The following is an 18857-nucleotide window of genomic DNA, read 5'->3' as shown; positions in this document are numbered from 1 at the left end:
GCTTGGAACTGAAGTGGGGCGGGGCAGGGGAGTGACACTGTGACCCGCTGGCTCCCATGAACACTACTGAGGCAGTGGACTGGTTGGTTACTATGTGGGCAGTTCTCTAAGTGTGTGCTTATTTCTTTCCCTCTAAAAATATGAAGCTTTTTTGGTTTTGGCTTCCACGCTGTAGTGAGATGGAGTTTCTAGAGCCAAGAATTCAGGCACCAGCAGCCTTCTCTTCACTCCAGCTGTCAGCTCCCGGAGTTTCAACACGGGAGGCCAGCAGGTCCACTCTGAGCCTTCTCACTCCAGGGCTGGGGGCTGATGGGGATTTCTCTGTTAAGGTAGCAGGGGTGACAGAGGCACTTCTCGTACAGCAGCAAGCCTTGAAAGGTTGAATAGGGCTACCTTAAACGCACAGAGACCTGTGGGAGCTGACCACGGAGCACTCGGGCTTGGAGTGAGGAGGGCGCAGGGGGGCTCATCTGGGTGGAGGCGGAGCGCACAAATCGCACAGCCGAGCTCCCTGATCCTGGAGGTTATTTCAAGCGATAAAAGAAAGGATCCCCCAGACTCCAGGGCTGCTCTTGGTGGGCACAAGGGGTTAAGAGTTAATTGGGGTTAATGGCAACTCAGCATGAGCCCGTCCCTAAATGGGAAGTGAACTTTCAACACGTCCTTGAAGTGTAGTGAAGAAACGTTCAAGGATTCTATTTTTATTTCTCAAGTGGCTGTGAACGTTTTGGTTTGGAAGTTTTTATTTTCTCAACTTGAATTACAGTATCTGGGGATTCACCCACACGAAGGTGAGTTCTGAGGCAGTGTGGGTCAGCTGAAGGACCACAGGCTTCAGGGTCACGTGGCTAGGGCAGGATTTGCATCCTGATGTCCCTTCTAACTGCGAGAGCTTTCAAGTTCCTGAACCCCTCAAAGCATGCTGCGTGTGCACAGAAGACACTCAACAGACATGAGCGTGGCTTCCTGACCCCCTGTGTCAGCACACACCAAGTCATCACTCCTGTCCAAACATCTCGGTGGGGGAACGCAGCACTCCTGAAGCCAAGCAAGGAGCTCCAACCAAAGAATGTTAAGTCAATGCTATTTTTTTTTTTTTGAGGCACTGTCACCCAGGCTGGAGTGCAGTGGTGCGATCATAGCTCACTGCAGCCCCGAACTCCTAGGCTCAAGCGATCTGCCCGCCTAAGCCTCCTGAGTAGCTACGACTACAAATGCATGCCACCACATTCTGCTAATTAATTATTATTATTATTATTTTTTTTGCAGAGATGGGGGTCTCACTATATTGTCCAGGCTGGTCTCAAACTCCTGGCCTCAAGTGATCCTCCTGCCTTGGCCTCCCAAAGTGCTAGGATTACAGGCGTGAGCCACCATGCCTAGCCCCAATACTATTCTTTTCTTTTTTCTTTTTTTGAGATAGTCTCACTCTGCTGCCCAGGCTAAAGTGCAGTGGTGTGATCTTGGCTCGCGGCAACCTCCACCTCCCAGGCTCAAGTGATTGTCCTGCCTCAGCCTCCCAGGTAGCTGGGGCTACAGGCATATGCCACCACGCTTTGCTAATTTTTGTATTTTTAGTAGAGATGAGATTTCACCATGTTGGCCAGGCTGGTCATGAACTCCTGACCTCAAGTGATCTGCCTGCCTTGGCCTCCCAAAATGCTGGAATTACAGGCCTGAGCCACCATGCCTGGCCAGCCTGGCCCCCAGTACTATTCTACTATTCTTATTTGACTTCCATGAGGTCCACCCAAGTTCAACTATGGTCCAAATGCATTTTTTTGTTTGTTTTTTTTTGGTTTCTTCAGACAAGGTCTCGCTCTGTTGCCCAGGCTGGAGTGCAGTAGTGTGATCATGATTCACTGCAGCCTTGACCTCCCAGGCTCAAGCAATCCTCCCACCTCAGCCTCTTGAATAGCTGAGACTACAGGCGTGTGCCACCACGCCTCGCTAATTTTTGTATTTTTTGTAGAGACAGGGTCTTACCATATTGCCCAGGCTGGTTTCAAACTCCTGAGCTCAAGCAATCTGCCTTCCTTGGCCTCCCAAAGTGCTAGGATTCCAGGCGTAAGCCACGGTGCCCAGCCCCAGTACTATTCTTATTTGACTTCCATGACCTCCACTCAAGTTCAACTACAGTACAAATGCTCTTTAAGACAGTCCAAGTTCTTCCCGACCAAACACAAAGGATCATTCACCATGCGGAAGACGTCTGCCAGAGAAAGAGAGCAGGAGCCGTGTCAGAAACCATGCCGGCAGCCTGTGTGCACCAAATCCCATGAACCACTGTCACAGCTTATTTGCCAAAACTCTGTGATGAGAGGCACCATGCCATCTAGAGGAGGTCGTCCGAATTCTGCGGATGATTGCACTTTCACAAGGAACTATATAAGGATGAGCTTCCTAAAATGTTCTCGACAGGGCAGAGGGTGAGCAGCGCCCCTCCTGAAGACCAGCCCAGGAATGGGCTGACCCAGAGACTGGGAGGGGATGGGATTTGTGCCAGGACAGGCTGTCGGGTTCTAGACACCAACGCAAGCATGACAGACAGTGCCAATCTTGCCCCCACCAATTCTCAAATACTGTGTACCTGGTGCAGAGTGAGAGATGAGGACAGGCGGAGGCTGGCTGCCTCCCTCAGTGCACGTCCCTCTCTGCAGCAGTGATTAGTGTTAGCCCAACACCTGCCATAACGCACTTTTTGAACAAGTTAGCATGGCCCTTTGTCCTTGGCTCCCCCTGATCTTCCCAAACCCCTCAACTAGAAGGTCCTTGGGAGATGCCTACTGAATAGACTCCAAGTTTGAAAGATTCACATGATGACCGAAGACAGAACTGACGGTTGATGCCTAGATGACTCTAAAGAAGTGGGTGCCCCCTGTGCATTAGAGGCCAGCTCTATGCACCTTGTCACTAGGTCACCATTATCTTCAGTAAAAAACCATGGCTGCTCACGCCAAGCTGGCAGCCTCGTTCTGAATGCGTGAGTGGAGAGACGGAAGATCTACAGCTCTTCTCAAAGACGGGAGGACACTGAGCCTCCAGGCAGAGGCAATCATGAGCCAAAAGTGAAGGTCCCAGCAGCGTGTTCCAAAGCGGCCACCAAGCTAGAAAGCAGAGGAAAGAAACCAAATCCTCGCAGCAGGAGCTCAGCAACCAGGGGCTGGTCGGGAGGAAAGACCCGTCCCTTCGCCCAGCTAGCGGAGATAAAGATGAACTCTGGGCACATTCTCGGTACAGGTACAGACTGGCCAACAGTGGGGCACCTGCGCTACCTCTGCTCAGATACTTGTGAAAATGTTATTCGACTCTGATGCTGGGGAACCTGGAAGAATGATTTCAGGGAGAAAGAAACCAGGGGAAAGGTGGATGGATGCTCTCTTTTATGCAACGTTGCCCCCTTGGACCTGGGGGGCCAGGGCTCTCAAGCAGCCCTGGTCCACCGCCTGCCTGAGCTATTGCAGGTCCAGAACACCACCTCCCAGGATGCGATGTTAGCCTGTGGCTGGGAAAGAGGCGGCATGAAGGGGCTGCGTGAGAGCTTCCCGCACAGAACCGAAGCAGCACCCGCTCCAGGAGTCTGGCCATCCCATGGCAGCTGTGACGCAGGCTGCATGGGACGAGAGCTGCCTGGACTCCCCTGTGCGGGCTCCGAGAAAGACAGGGAGAGCTGGACAGCACGGGAGGGACAGTCCAGAGCCACTGTGGCACCGCTCACGACTCCTGAGGAGCCTGGGGGAGGCTGCTCTGAGGCTCAGCCCTGTCAGTGAGGAGACAACCAGAGGCGTCTGGAAGGCAGTTCTTGGGTTTGCTGTTACTCCCCAAACACTGGCTGAAGGACCGTCTTTGAATGTTTGACAGCCGAAAACCTCCCCAGGTCCCTTCCTCAAACCTCTGCTTCCCCCTTTTCAAGGCAAGTGGAAACAGAGCCAAGAAAAACCCATATACTTCCTTTTCTGAACCACCTCCTCTGAATACCCCGTACCCCTACGTAAATGACATGCTCAATTTCTTAGTTAGGGACCTGAGGTTTGTAACCTATCTTTACCGGAGCTCTGGGAGGCAACAAAATGAGCATCTTCTCCCTAACCCCTTGATGGTGAAAAAGGAACGTCAGAAACTTCCTATCAGGCAGAGTGCGGCTCATAGGAGCCCGTGCGTGGGAGGCATGTGGGGGAAGGTGCCACCTGGGAGGGAACCTAATGCCATGACCCACTGGGGGCTCCTGCAGCACCGGATGCGCAGCCTGGCTTTGACCTGCCAGAAAACTGTCCATGCACTGTGGCCGCTGCAGGAGGGAGCCTGTGTCTGCCCAGAACACACGCTGTGGCCCCCAGGCAGCAAACTCCACCCACCTTTGGAACCAGGATGAGTCCACACACCTGGTAATACCCCGCCTGTTGTCTCCAAGCTTCTAGCTGGGAGCTGGTATTAAGCTCACACTGAGGGGATGCTGGTGGCAAGAGCTCAGCCCCTGAACATGACACCCTTCTCTACCTGGAGCCCTTCCCAAGCTCTCCAAGCTTCCCGAGACACCTGAGACTGATGTCTGTCATTCCAGAGAAGGCTCTGCCCCGGGGCAGGGAAGACGAGGCTCAGAACCAGCAAGTGGACTGGCACTGCCAGGCACTACCAGAGTGCCCAGGCAGGATGGCATCTTCCAAGGAGAGCTCCTCCCTGCAGACACCTGCACCTTGGTGACTGTCTCCACTTGGTAGGAAACAGGTTGAGAGGGATTCATTTGTCCCAAACCTCACACTGCTTAGATGTGGCAGGGATTCGAAACAGGTCATCTTCAGTCAAAGCCCAGTCCCTCTTTAGAGCACCCAGTTCCTCTTTAGAGCACTCAACTGTCTCCTTTGCTTACATCCTGATGGAAGGGCTGTCTCCTCTGCCATCCACTCTGTGGCCCCCTCAAGGCTGGCGCCTTCAGGGCAGGACTGGGCTGGCCCAGTGGCCTTGGCCTGGCCTCTCATTGGAGGACAAGCTGCCTGCCTGTGTGGGCTCTTTCTCGGCTGAAAAGCCAGATGGTACCCGATGGTGGGCAGAGTTCCAAGTATTTGATGCCAGAGCTGCAACCCTTGTGGTTTAGGGGGAAGGGGAAGATAAATATTGTGGAAAACCCACACAGTCATTTGCCTAATGATTATGAGCCATCAGGGTTTATAGAGGACAGCCCGGCTCTTCACAAGCCTGACGGAGGACCACGGAATCTAGCACCTGCACATCCAGGTGAAAAGACCATGGGTTCTGACCTTGACCTAGGAGAGCTTTACGGATGTTACGTGAGGAGCTGGGGTGGGGCAGAGGGCATGTGTGCGCAAAGCTGTGGGACGTGAGGAACAGACCTGTCTGTGGAGCTGGCGCCTACTCTAATCCGTCACTGTCCGAATTTCAGATGCAAATTGGTGGTGCTGGAGAAAGAGACGGGTGACGAGCTGTCTGTGACTTCACGGCAGTGGACGGATTCCAGCTGCTCCCTTCTACTTCTGCCCCCCAAAGACAGAAGTGCTCTGGCACTTGCGGAGGGGAAGCTTGTCCTGGCAGCGAGGACCAGAGGATGACCCGCCCACTGGGAAAGGAGGGGCTGGCTGTGCATGGAGTCTGTCTTGCAGAAGCAGCAGCCACTAGCTGTGGTGGGCTCTGGCCATCAGCAGGCTAAGGCCCAGGGGAGGGTTGTGTGCCAAAGCCCCGCCACAGGCCCAGCAGTGGCGTCCACCTGTAAGCAGTTTCCCTCATTGCAACCTTCAGGGAGCAACCACGCTGCGATGGGCCATGCTGGCTCTAGACGGAAAGGTGAACGAGACGCAGCCCGTGCCCTGAAGGAGCTCACAATGAGGTCAAGGAACGGAATAATCATAAAAGCCCAATTAATGCCATGGCAGGGGGTGAGGGAAGAGGGGTCCTGAGCTCAGTGTGGACTAGACGAACGCTCCTCTGACTCCAAAGCAAGGCACAGGCACGTGGTGGGCCAGGCCGTGACAGCACTCGACGTCTGGGGATGACACTGGCGGGGTGGGGTGGGGGGGTGTCTGGGGGAGAGAGAAGGCTCCAGGAGACTGGGGCAGACCATGCCACGTGAGGGAGTTTAGACTTTGCTTTCTGGAGAGGAGCTTCTGTGGGGTTTTAAGCAGGGAGATGGCAATCAGACTGCCCTAAAATCAGGGTTGACACAGAAAACCTTCATGACCCTGGGGCAGTTCTGCTGTGAGGCGCTGGGTGTGCACACCAGGGAGGGGGCTGTGACAGGCTGTCCCTCGTCATGGAGCCGTGGGGCGGGACACTCCTAACATGATGAGGTTTTTAAAAGGGACTTTGATCCTTTGAACTAGGAGTATAGACAGGGGTAGGGGGAGATCAGGGAATTTCATTCCCATCCTATCGGACAGAGGAGGGAAAAGGCCATCCTAGGCCCTCCTGGGGAACCTGATGGGAGACAGAGCGAGGAATGCCCACTTTCTAGGGCAGGCTCTAGAGAAGCCTTTCTTCCCCACGGCAGGAAGAAAATAGGGACTGTGAGGAAAGGCAGGGCTCTTATAGAGGGTTTGGCAGCTCTGAAGAGCATGAAAACCTCTTTTCCCGGCTCTCCTCGGCCGAGTTAACAGATCCAAGGACCAAAACTCCTCTGGGCACTACAGGCGTGGCTTACTGGCTCTCATGTTTTAGTTTTTGAGATCTCTCTACAAAAACAGCTCTTTTAGTATTTATGCTGGATGTCAAGGAGGAGGGAGGGGATGGGTGCACGGCATTATTCTCCCCGACGGCTGTGCCTGGAGAGGCTGGGTCTGGGTTAGCCGGGGTCACAGTATACCACTATCTTATACCAGTGAGAAGGCCGGGGCATGTCTTGCTTGGCCACATAACTGCTGGGGGCTGGGCTACCACTGTTGGGGCCAGGCTAGGGGTCAACTTGATCCTCACAGGTCCTAAGAACAAGAGAGCGTGAGAGGAACAGGTGGGCTGTGTCGCAAGTGACAGAGGATGGGGGACCCTCTGAGCCATCAATCTAGCCCCTCAGCTCCCTTGGGAAAAAACACCCACACCTCCAACCACCTGATTCTGCCAGGAATTGAACTGCTCAGAACATTCATTGGTGGTGATGTGTGTGCCCATGGGCCTCGGAACCCATGAGGCCGCTTGCGTCTCCAGTAACCAGCTGGCATCTGATGGCTTTTGGTGCCCAGAGTCTAGCTGTCAATCCCCCGCCCTGCCCTGGGAACAGGAGGAGGCAGTGCCATCGCCCTCTGTTGCCCGGAGCTTGTGCGTCACTCAAGGAGAGGTGCCAGGCGATCACTTGAGATGCTCTCGGCATCTTCCCTTCCTCGGTCCATGCTCTCGGCGCAGGAAGAGCAATGGCAGTGGGAACGCTCCAGCAGGAGCTGGAGGAAGCAAGGGAGGGAAGTCAGGTGCCCAGAACACGGGTGCCCTGCAGAGAGGGCTGCACAGGCCCAGCTGGCTCCACCCCTTTTCTGCTGACGTCTGGCCTTGAAATAGACCGGGAACTGAGTAACCTTGGAGGCGGGACGGAGGGGAGATGGCATATCAAGCTGGCTGATTAATGAGCTCTCTTGAAGCGGGTTTGAGAAGTGACATCAGCAAGCCCCCAGCTTCCTCCCTAGTCGGGGGTCAGAGTGAGATGCCCTCTCCGGGGAGCTGGCACGCTGCGGGGTCTAGAGCCCCCAACCAGCAGCTTCAGAGGAAGCTACAGGGGAAGCCTAGAGCACCACCCGCTAGGGACATGGGAGGTACCCGTCAGCCGCAAGTGACAAAGCAGCCTCCAGCCAGTGGGCACGCACAGCCCCTCTTCTCTCTGGCAGTGCCTTAGGTGTGGACTCCAGGATGTGGCAGCACCTGTAGGTTGCCCAGCCCCTCTCCTTTCCCTGCAAAAGGCAGGCACGGGAAGCCCTTGACAGCTGCCTCCACCATGGTGCTGTGGGAAGCAGTTCCTGAAGGAAGACCAGAGTAGGCCTCTCCCCGGGAGACCTTTTACTACCTCGACAGATCTGCGCCAGCAGGATTTCTCAAAGGGAAAAGCACACAGAATTCTCCTCAGAACTGGTTGAAAATGCGGATTCCTGGGCCCTGTGGCCTTCGAATATACTGCATCAGGCCTGGCGCAGGACCCAAGCATCTACATTTTTATTAAGAGCCCGAAGGCACTCTTGTGCCAGTGGTCAGGCAACCAGATCTTGAGAAACACTTTCCTGATCCAGGGGAAAGGGACCAGCTGGGAAGTGTTCCCAGAGACTGTTCACCTGCCTCTCAGGTGAAGCACAGCCTCCCTGCAGTAGTGTGGGAGAAGGCGCCAGAACTGGACATTACAGACCGCAGGGGCCTCCCGGCCTCAGCCAGTGCCCAACACCCAATACCAGTCCCTGCATTCTCTTCCCATCAAGGTGTTCAGAAAATGTCTCAATCCATGGTTGAAGGAAGTTCTTGCCATTGCCAAACTACACATGCCCTGCGGTGGCTCAAGACCCTTCTAGAGTCACACTCACATGGGGTATCTGCTGCCACACCCCCAGTGCCTCCTTTTGTGCCTGAGGCTTATGAAAATGTTCCTTGGTCCACTGTCAGCGAATCCACAAGACATCCGGGCTTATGCTAATTCATCCGATATCATCATTAATGTGCACCCTAATCGTTCAGCTCTGTGTAAGGGCCATCATAGCCGAGTCCCTCGCACCTCTCTGCTGGCTGTAAACCCTCTGGGGTTCTGTGGCTCCTCTCCTCAGGGCCAGGGTGCACTGCACAGCGCACACTCAGCTATTTCTTCTCTGCACACAGGTGCTGCTTTTGAGCCAGTGTGCAGGGCCAGCACCGCTGGCTGGGACACTGGCCACACGAAGGATCACGGCTATTACTTTTGAGTGAGTGCTTTATTTAATTAAACAATTACTGCTAGGGCCCTGGGGCGCTATATAGAAAGACATCAGGCTCTGCTTATGATACACACCCTGTAACAGAGCAAGCATCATTCAGGGAATAGCACAGCCTCACAAAACTTGGCAGGGCCACCACAAATGCCACAGACTGATCTACAGGATAAAAGGAGCAGCCAGACACGGAGCAGAAGACAAACAGTTTGGCATATACAGTTTTCATTTTAGTTAGCACAAAATATTGAAGAACATTCCATGTTACTCTCAAACTACTGGGAGGTTGCTAGATTCCACAGACTATGGAGTTTTTTGACACTTTTATTTTGTGAAATGAAGAAAAAAATAAAAAATAAAAAAGGTGGCAGGGAGAGATCTGAAATCAACAACTGGGATGTACTCTTAACAGATATAATAAAAACTATTTTTAGTTCTTTGCCCAGAAATGGGAGTTCTGGAAGCAGCGGGGTGCACAGTGTGGGATGGACTGGGCTGTTGAGCTTTGGGAGTCTGCCCGGGGCTCAGCTTCTCGAGGGGAATGACTGGAAATGCATGTGCACGCACAGGTCAGTGGCCAGGATCAGCCCAGGTGGCTTGGGAAGTGAGGCACACCGGGTTTTTATCCCTGACTGCACCACTCACAAACAAGGAGGGCTTAGGCCTCGGGCTCGGGGTCTGACTGGGATCAGGATGAGACCTGCAAAGAAACGGTCCTGAAAAAGCTCAGCGCAGAAGGTCCCCAGCAGGGATGGATACTCCCCCACTGAGCCCTGCCTGGAAGCTTCCCAACCAAATTGGCCTGTGCACAGGTGTGGGGCTCGGGTATATACTTATCAAGCTCCGCGGAGCTCTCCCAGCTCAGGGATGTGGATGGGGAGAGGGGAAGGGGAATCGCTGGTTACTGCTTTCAGGTGGGCTGCCTATGATGTCCACCCCAAGCCCTGCCTGCCTGTTTCTCCAGCAACATCAACCGGGCTTTGGGGTTCTGCACCTTTGCCTATGAATACACGGATATCTCCCTTTACACAAGAGAAGGGCTCCTGAAGTTCTTTTACAAATGCTTAATTTTCACAGAACAACATTTAAATACACTAGGGAAACTGAGTACTTAAGAGAAATCTGAAGCAAATCCTTCTGTAAAGTAAGGAATCACTTTGTAACAAGTAACTACCCTCCCAATTTATTTCATACCTTTGGATTTTCATATAATGGGGTTCCTAGGAGTTAAGAATGCTGGGTGTGTGTGGGTCAAGGTCATGGCAACAGATCATTTCCCATCTCCATTCACTTCCTGGGGGAATTGGTGAATGGGGGTGGGGTGAGGGATGAGCAACCAGGTAAGTTACACTGCCGTTTTCCCCACGTGCCCGGGAGTAAACCTGGCTTGCTGCGGGTAGGAAGTCTTTGCAAGGCTATACTCATTATTTTACAGACAATGGAGATGGGGTAAAGAAATATGGTTTAGGCTAAGCACCCCAAATCCAAAATTCCAACACCTGAAATGCTCCAAAATCTGAAACTTTTTGAGCACTGACACGATCCTCAAAGGAAATGCTCACTGGAATATTTTGGATTTTTGAATTTAAGATGCTCTACTGTGAGTATAATGCAGATATTCTAAAAATCTGAAGAAAATCTGAAATCAGAAACGCTTCTGGTCCCAAATATTTTGGGGAAGGGATACCCAACCTGCACATTCTACCAGGGCCAGAGACACCCAACTGTCATGCTGTGAAGGGGGCTATGTCGGTCACCAGCTTAGAAGCAAGAACATAAGACCCTGTCACCCCTCAGGACCTTGACAGAGGCCCATGAGCAGCTTCCGAGCTGGGTAAGGGAGTGGTAGGGAGAAGAAGCCACTGCCTGCTGCTTTGTGACACTGAGTCCCCCAGTCTGGCACCTGTACTGAGACCATAGAGGCGGTGGCACGGGGGACTAGGCATCATCCTCTCAACTGGCGCATAGGTATTGGCCAAGGTGGGGACAGGTCATAGGTCGTGGGGCATGATGGATGGTGGGCATAATGCCAGTCAACCGAACCCACGTCCCTGAGAGTGACATTAAAAACAAAAACAGCAACCCTCTCCCTGAGCAGGAGGAGAAAGCATGGGCACTGGGGATGAGGGTGGAGGAGGCAGTCACAGGGTGACTCAGGGAGGCGTCACCCAGGTGTCCTCAGCAAGGTGAAGGGACAGGCTGGAGCAACTCCGGGAAGAAAGGAGGGACAGGGGCCGTGCTCAGACAGGAGCAGCAGTGGCGGAGGAATGGGTGGGGTGGTGGGGGTTCACGCTGTCCCTGGCTAGGAGCTAGAGAGACAAGCTGCAGTGTGGGAGTGAGTGACAGGCAACCTGAATTTCATTTAGGGAGGGCTGGGGTAGGGGGATGGAAAGCACACGGAAGACAAGAAGCCATTCCTGGTCTAAGATATATAGACAGCTCCTAGGGAAAAAAAGCAAGCAAGCAAGAACAACACAGGCCTGTCCCTGTATTATTGATTTCCTTGAAAAAGAAAGAGACAAGCTAATCCTTTGAGGTCACCATTTCAGCCTGAGCGCAGTCGCTGTCTGAAGTTAGAGTTCACCCAGGTTAGACTCCCAGCTCTGCTTGGGTGGCGGGTACGGGCACGCACATTTTTGGGGTGCGGGGAAGAAACACATTCTTCCTTGACACCCAGTCTCACGGGATGACTGCAGAAGGCTCAGCATGTGTGGGACAAACAGGACCTGGCACATGCATCTCAGGGGCTCACAACCCCACACCAAAGCTGGCTGAAGACACCTCAAAGGCTCAGCATATGTGGGACAAACAGCACCCGGGACATGCATCTCAGGGGCTCACAACCCCACACCAAAGCTGGCTGAAGACACCTCGAAGCCTCACCGAGTCCAGCTCCTGGTGGTGGTGGGCACGGGTTAGAACGACTGCACGCAGTGCACCTGCGGTGCCACCAGGTGTGACGGACATCTCTCCATAGGCGAGAGGGGAGGAAAAGGTGAAAGGCAAAACAAACCCGACCTTTCTAGAGTCTCCAGAACTGAATGAGGAGGAACTGACAAGAGGTGCGTTGGGAGGGAGAAGAAAAGGAAAGGAGAGAAGATGGGCTTCCCGGGTCACCCCAGTGAGCCCCTACATGGTCGCCATCCTATAAAGGAGGCACTTGGATGTCCCCGACCCTGGAAGCAACACCCTTCCCCCTCCAGGCGTCCTGGAGTCTCCTCCTGACTCGTCTTGGTTTGGTGTGAGGCTGAGTCCTAACTCACGTGAACCACATGAGAGGGTGGATGTTGCCCAGGAAGGGACACTCTTGACAGGCTGTCTGCTTTCTGGGCTGAGGGTCCTGCATTCCGTTTCTAGACGGGCCAACCCACTAGACTCCTAAACAGAGACAGCTTGCTTATCCTGTCCACTTTCTTGCCAGGCCCTCCCCAGGCCACCTTTCCTGTTTGACTGCACTTCACTCAATCCCGGGCTGGACGCTGCATAAACTCGGGGGCAGTGTTCACTGTGTTCTACTGGAGTTGTGCCCTGGGGGCACCACTGACGTTGAAAGCAACAAGAGTGGTGCCTGGGAGGCAGGCGGCACAGTGTCCCCAGAGTCTCCAAGTCCAGTGAAGTCACTGCTGCTCCTCAAACTTGTTGCTTCACTAATTTTCCTTCCTCACTGGTCCTGAAGGCCTCTAAGCCACCTCCTGCCCCAGCACTGGCAAGAATAAATATTCAAGTGAAGGCAGCGTTGACCCACTTATTAACAGATGCCACAGCCCCAGGGCACAGTGGCTGACGCTAGAAGAACAGAGACCATGGCAGGGGAAGGAAGTGTCCTTGGGAAGAGGCACTTAATTCTAACACTACTTGAGTGCCCAGGAAAAGCTGGCCTTGCTATCTAGGAGTGAGGGGCACCAGGGCAGACAGGGCATCAATCAAGTCGGTGACAATGATGGGCAGACGTGCAAAGGCGCTCACTCACCAGGGAACATGCTCAGCCGGGTCACCCCACCAACTTGAAAATGTCAGGCTTCCAGGGCTGAGAAGAGGTGCTCCATGCCCCAGCCTGCACATGGCAGTGGGGGCCACCGCCAAGGCAGGGCCTATGGAACTGAGTCTTGGGCAAGTGGAGCAAGCCTGTGTCACCAGGGCAGGACAGAGCTGAGAGGCCAAAGAGCTGAGCTGTTGTCTGTCTGCTTCAGCTCCGGGATCCCAGGAAGCCCCCGTCTCTCAGTCAGTTTTCCCTGCTGTGAAATGGGATGACGCTGTGTACTTTACTGTGTGGGTGGGAGTCAAAAGTCACTGGTATGTGCTACACCGATGCAAGGTAAACCGTGGGAGGGCGGGGCACTCACAGCACGCATGGCACTGCCAGGTGGGCACATCACTCCCTCTGCACCCTCATGAAAAGGATATTTTCTCCTTGAGTGGTACTATTTTAGGAGGAAAGCATTTGGTTTTGAAATGGGGACTGCACACCATTTTAAGTGTTGCAAATGGACAAAGGCCAGTGTTGCCATGTGAGAGGGAGGCCAAGATGGAATCCTGGCAGAGCGAGAAAAAACAGGGCTGTCGCAAACAGGGCTGGAAGGACCCTTGACCCTTCCGGTGTCAACCTGAGCCTGAATCTGAGACTGACCCGGCCCTCTAGGAAGAGAGGCCAGCAGACAGAAATCCCCCTGGCCCTCCACTTCTTCAAGGGGGTGTCCGGAGGGAGCTTGGGAAGACTCTCTCTGTCACAAGGGGTGGCAGGGCACTGGCCAGGCACTTGCAGGCTGTATCCCTCTCCTGAGTCACCTGTGCCCCGGAGGTGGATCTCACAGCTCCTGTGTTCAAGGCAGGAGAGCAGGCCAGGGCGACCTTGTCCTGTCCCAGGGCAGCCCACGAAGGGCCCTCTGCTCAACAGGGCAGTTTGCGGCCGGGTCTCCAGCCAGGATAAGCTCCGCTCTGCCATCTGCGTTCCCGGCTCTGTTCGGCCGGGGCCTGCCGGGCCACCTGCGACCCAGCAGCATCTGTCCACCTGTGAGCGGTAGATGCCGCTTGCTCTTCCTAATGGTGAGAGGCTTTCAGAGGCTTTCAGCACTTGGGAGTCCCCACTGTCCCCTCTGACACTGCTTCCCTCTGACTCTCTCTAGGAGGAGGGATGGGTCCAGACAGGGGACAGGAATATTGGCTGGGAGGTGATGCAGGAATAAGGAAGTGCAACAAAGGTGCTGGGCAGTGCCCTTGATCCCAGGGGGAGAGTGACACACGCCTGCATCCCAGACACTTGGGACAGTCTGAGTCCCAAACAGAACTGGTTCATACGCAATCCTATCACCTCACCAGGGGTCCCTGGCTCCTTCATGCTGTAGAGGAAGGAATGAAATGCCAACTTCTGACTGTGTTGCCTACCAAAGCCGGAGAAACTGCAGAAAGAATCCTGAGATGTTCCCTAGCCTGGAGGCAAGGTTACCCGTTTGAAAGAGCTGGAGCATCTCACACATTCCCATTTGATTTTTCAAAAGAGCAGGAGGGATGGGTGGGTGGGGGGCCTGAGAATCCAAGGTCAGCTGATAGCAGATCCTGATGATAATCTCCATGGGCCCTAATAACAGGGCTGAGGTCACCGCTGGCTCCAGCTGCAGTGGCCTGCTGGGACACCCCAGAGAGCCCACTGAAGCAGCAAGTGACTCAGGGGACCTCCACCCCCCAGCACCCTGCTCTGTGGCTCCTCCAGGGAAGGAAAGGGGGAAAGTGACTCATATCAGCCGCGCCGGGAAGCACAGGATATGGACAAGGGTCGTCAGGCACAAGGAGTGGGGTTGGAATTTTCCACTGGTGAAGGTCAAGGGCTTTGGGAGGCCACTGGGAGCTGCTGGTAGAAGCATCTCCCTTTTTGTAAGTAATCATGATGCTACACACAGGCCAGCCCTGGAGACAGTTACTGTAGCAAGGATTCTCACCGTGTGTGTGCGTCTCAGGAGCATTCCTGGGAAGACACAGAAGAAATCGCTTCCAGATGACTTTCTGAAAGTTAGACCACAATATAAAAGTCTGTATCTCTGTCCCCCAGAACTACTGTTGCAGAATGGCAATGAAGAAGAGATTATTAGCAGGCCCTTTTAAAAATGCAGCCTGGGTAGGGGCACCATCTACCTGAGACAAACAAGGTCTGTGTGCAGGGTAGGGAGGTGCTTTCAATTCTCCTCCGACCTGCTCGCTGCCTTGCTGAACACTGAGTGAAATCTGGCTGGCAGCAAAATCAGAAACAGCTGGTGGTGAGAGGCAGTGTGGCATCCCTAGAAGGGATGGACAATCTTCTGAAACAGAATGACCAGGGGGCAGCGGGGAAGGACAGCCCTCCTCCTCTGGGGCCCAAGGGGCCACTTGATGGAATCTAGCTCTCCTGACCTTTACAAAGACGCACAGGGATAAGACCTGCAGGCCAGACTTGGGAGGGGAAGATGCCGTCATCACTTGCAGAAGAGCTCAGGACTGAGGGAGGAAACCCACATCTTTGCCAACCCCCCTTCCTCCAGTCACTCTGCCCCTTCCAACTCACCAAGGGAGGGGAAGGGGCTGCAGAGCAATGAAAGCACCAGGGTCTGGGGTCAAGGGAACAGCAGGCTACTGTTCTGCAGAACCTCACACCCTGGGAGCCACATGCAAAACTGTGAAGTGACTTCTGAGACAATGCCAAGGCCCATCTGCCTTGATTTCTCCAAACTGGGTAGAAGAGCCCATGCAAACCAAAAGCCTCTGAGCAAACAGAAGCCCCCAGCAGGGGACTGGGCTATGGGGGAAGGATACTGTCACTGGCCCAGAAAGAAAAGGCTCTCGTGGGCAGCCAGGGTCTCCACTCCTGTTCTGCAGCCTCTGCTTCCTGTTTTCGTGGCTTTTGCAGGCTCTGATGACAATTAGCTCTATGAGTTATAAATGCAGTATCTGGGAGATGAAGGCAGTAATTAATGCCCGTCTGCTTTCCTGAAGGGTTCCTTCTGTTCGGTCAGAGAGTTATTGAGATCCAGGGAGGGAGGCTTCCATCATGTGGAAGGTTTATAGGAATAAGTGAGGGAACCATTTAACAAGGCAAGAATAACGCTTCTAAATAATTTATCAGGCAAATGGCAGCAGCCAATATTCCCAGCGCTCAGTATCCGTTTTGCTGGTGGGCGGGGAGTGTGCCTGGCAGGGTCTTTAGATTCCAGCAGCCTCCCCAGCAAAGACCCACCAAACTGGCTCTGCTGTGGCTGCTCTGCCCTGAACATGCCACCATGTCTGTGCGAGCCGCTCAAATCCTGTCCTTCATCCCCTCCTTCTGCCCATCTACCCTGCTAGAGATCCAGATGGGCCCTTTCCCTTACTAATACCTCTGCTAATTTTGTCAGTCATGGTTTGTTGAGAGCTAAGAGGCTAATGAGCCTCAGCTGTGCTGCTAGTGCCTGGGCTCACCCCTCCGGCTGCCATGCCAGTACCTTTTCCCGCCCCAAGGCTGGGGAAGGTGGAGAAGGGTGCCAGACAATTAACCCGCTACCAAATTCCCACCAGACCTGCAACGGAGGAATCAGGGATGCAGCCTACTAAACTGCTAGCCACAGATGAATGTGCAGGAGAAGACACACTGACCATTAGCTGACTGCTCCAGAGAGGCAGAGAGGAAAACCAACCTCTCCATGGCCCAGGCCACAGGGCTCCTACAGCACGGCTGCAGAGTGGGACTAGGAGGGCAAGAAAAGCCCTTCAGTGGCCCCTTGGGGTTAAGAAATCCAGCCCCAAATAGCCTGCAGGGCCTGTGGAAACCTTTCCTCAGATAGGGATAATGAAGCCGGGAGGCCAGCTCCCTGAAAAGCCTGGCTCTCTCTTGGTCCCTGCCTCCCTGCTCCAAATCAGCCAAGTGGCCACGTGTCAAACTGTGTGTCACCTAGCACACCTAAATTTATGTCAGGGCTGAGGAGGACCAAGAGGAAGCAGAGAATATTAACAGATACTGCAACAGTTAAAGAAAAACATTTCTGAGTCCCGCCCCCAAAGTAGGCAAAGATAAATAACTGTCTCTGATTTTGTATCTTATTATCCAGGACCTGTCTGGCATATTATTCAGCTCCCTGCCCCCCACCAACGGCACAAAGCAATCAAGAACGAGCCTGGAGATTCATCGTCTTCTCTTGTCCACTGGGAGGATGAGAGGAGGGAAGATAGGAAGAGAGCTGGGCTGACCCTTCCCTAACTGGAGAGGATGCTTACGGCCAGACCCAGCATCGAACCATATGCTCTTGGGCTGGCCAGGAGTAAGGTCAAAATATGGAAAGTTTCGGAAAAAATGAGACGTGTCACTCTTGGAGAACTCTGCTGAGGTCGGCCCTAGAATCTGAGCTAAGTTTACAACAGTCACGGTCCTGAATCTGGCTATGACCTGAGTGCCTACTCCAAACCACGCTTGACTTTGAGGCCTGCTGCCAGGAACCTTGGGGGCTAGACTCTTAGTGACACGATCCATTTCTGCCTGGGGCCAAGGCCCCAGTGCTTAGCCAGAGTGTGGAGAAGAGTAGATCCTCCTCTCTGGGGAAAGGATTCTACCTGGAAGTAAAGGCACTTCAAATGCCCTCAGCTGTGCAGGCTGGGCTGGGGCAGGCGGCACAGAGGCACAGACACTCACCAAGTAGATGCGGTAGGCGTCCACTCGGCGCAGGGGCCCCCAGCACCGGTCAGTGTCATTGTATTTGGTGTCTGCTTCCACACCGCAGGAGTCATTGCCAGTGGCGCTGCTGATAAAGAGAATGACAGCAGGCCCAGGCTCAGCGAGGCCGCCTGGCTGGGCTGGGGGAGACAGAAGCCACTCCCTGCACAGCTGCCTGAGCGCCAACAATCAGACTTTTCACAAACCACTTTGCGGGATGCATCTCTGAGGATGCACCCTCCTTGTTCCTGCAGCACCATTTCCCAATGACTCAGGAGCCCTTGGTGGGAACCTAGTGGGGCAGGGAAGGGGACAGTGACATGAGCTAAGGACAGACAGCATGGCTGGCTGTGGTCTGTGCAGAAAAGGGCCTGGGCATCTGCATTCCCTAGATGCAATGAACTCACTTGGCATGGTGCTTCTCCCCTGGACACTCTGCCCTGACTTGCTGAGGAAGCCCCTTTGGCTACCGCCAACCTGGGGGCCAGGAGGGTACTCACCAGGTCACCTGCATGAGGGAGAAGGGCACGGCAGCAGCATAGATGGCGAGGTCTCCATACAGGTAAACGATGATGCAGAAATAGAACAAGTTGACCCCCACTGAAAGGAACACAGCCATCAGTCAGGGAGCCACAAAGAGATGTCTGCATGTTTTTTTTTTTTTCTTCTTCTTTTTGACTAAATCTCTACCTCTCCCATAGCTTTCAGTTCTCTGAGCTGTTTACTTTCTACAAAAAGTGGGAAAATGACCCCAAAGTCCTATTTCTTTTTCTGGCTGGCTACACTGTGATGCTGACAAGAGACAGATCGGCTCATGACTTTCACCTGAGAGGACTCAACGAGGCTGGGAGGATCAGAGAGATTTTGAAGCCAGACAGGTGCACGGTGAGTGTGAGTCTTGGCATGGCTGGGGTGGGAGGAGGGAGGAGAGATGTCCCGAGTCAGGAGCCTGAACCCCAGGTGCGTCTGGGCTGGGGCCCCCTCTGGTGTCAGCCAACACCGGGCTCTAAGACAAGAGATTGCTACTAAAGAGTTGAAGCAAAGAGAAGTTGATGGAAAATAGCCCAGCTCTCTGAAGCTGGGATCCAAAGGGTAAAAAGCCCTGGATTTCCAAAGGCCAACTGTCTCATTCTGAATCTGACTGATCCCAAGCACACGGTGGCCTGGTGTGCTGGGGAGATGGTGCTCAAGACAGGCCCCCTTTCCTTCTTACGGGAAGCACTCCCAAGGGACAATGCTGACTCTGGATGGTGTGTGATACTGACACTTCTGCTGCAGAGGTGACGTTTGTCCCCTCTCACTCCAGCAGGAGGCTGAACGAGAAGTTGGGAACA

The 18857-nt window shown here is 53.9% G+C and overlaps 1 protein-coding gene across 7 annotated transcripts in view, besides 1 other annotated feature; it reads right to left on the bottom strand.

Annotated features, from left to right (window-relative positions):
- The window catches only part of SLC38A12 (solute carrier family 38 member 12), a 63255-nt gene that overhangs the window by 26619 nt on the left and 17779 nt on the right, over window positions 1-18857 (bottom strand). For 4 of the 7 annotated variants that reach the window (NM_017728.4, NM_001321264.3, XM_017024799.3 and 1 more), the window contains 2 exons: window positions 18024-18123; window positions 17503-17611 (listed from right to left, as the gene is read on the bottom strand). In NM_017728.4, the coding sequence (NP_060198.3) occupies window positions 17503-17611; window positions 18024-18123 (209 nt within the window). Of the gene's footprint in view, window positions 1-9084; window positions 14874-17502; window positions 17612-18023; window positions 18124-18857 lie in introns of those variants that run through there. The other 3 variants (XM_006721963.3, XM_047436329.1, XM_017024798.3) reach the window with 2 other exon arrangements.
- Window positions 222-937: an enhancer, noted in NCBI's record as "H3K4me1 hESC enhancer chr17:72808337-72809052 (GRCh37/hg19 assembly coordinates)". NCBI's record gives its function as "activates a minimal SCP1, AML or CMV promoter by ChIP-STARR-seq in naive H9 embryonic stem cells {active_cell/tissue: H9 hESC(naive)}" and the evidence as "EXISTENCE:reporter gene assay evidence [ECO:0000049][PMID:30033119]".

The sequence above is a fragment of the Homo sapiens genome, chromosome 17, assembly GCF_000001405.40.
Source record: "Homo sapiens chromosome 17, GRCh38.p14 Primary Assembly".
In the NCBI taxonomy this organism is placed as follows: Eukaryota; Metazoa; Chordata; class Mammalia; order Primates; family Hominidae; genus Homo; species Homo sapiens.
Note: the sequence above shows the minus strand (reverse complement) of the source record. Positions and strands in the feature narration are given on the sequence as shown.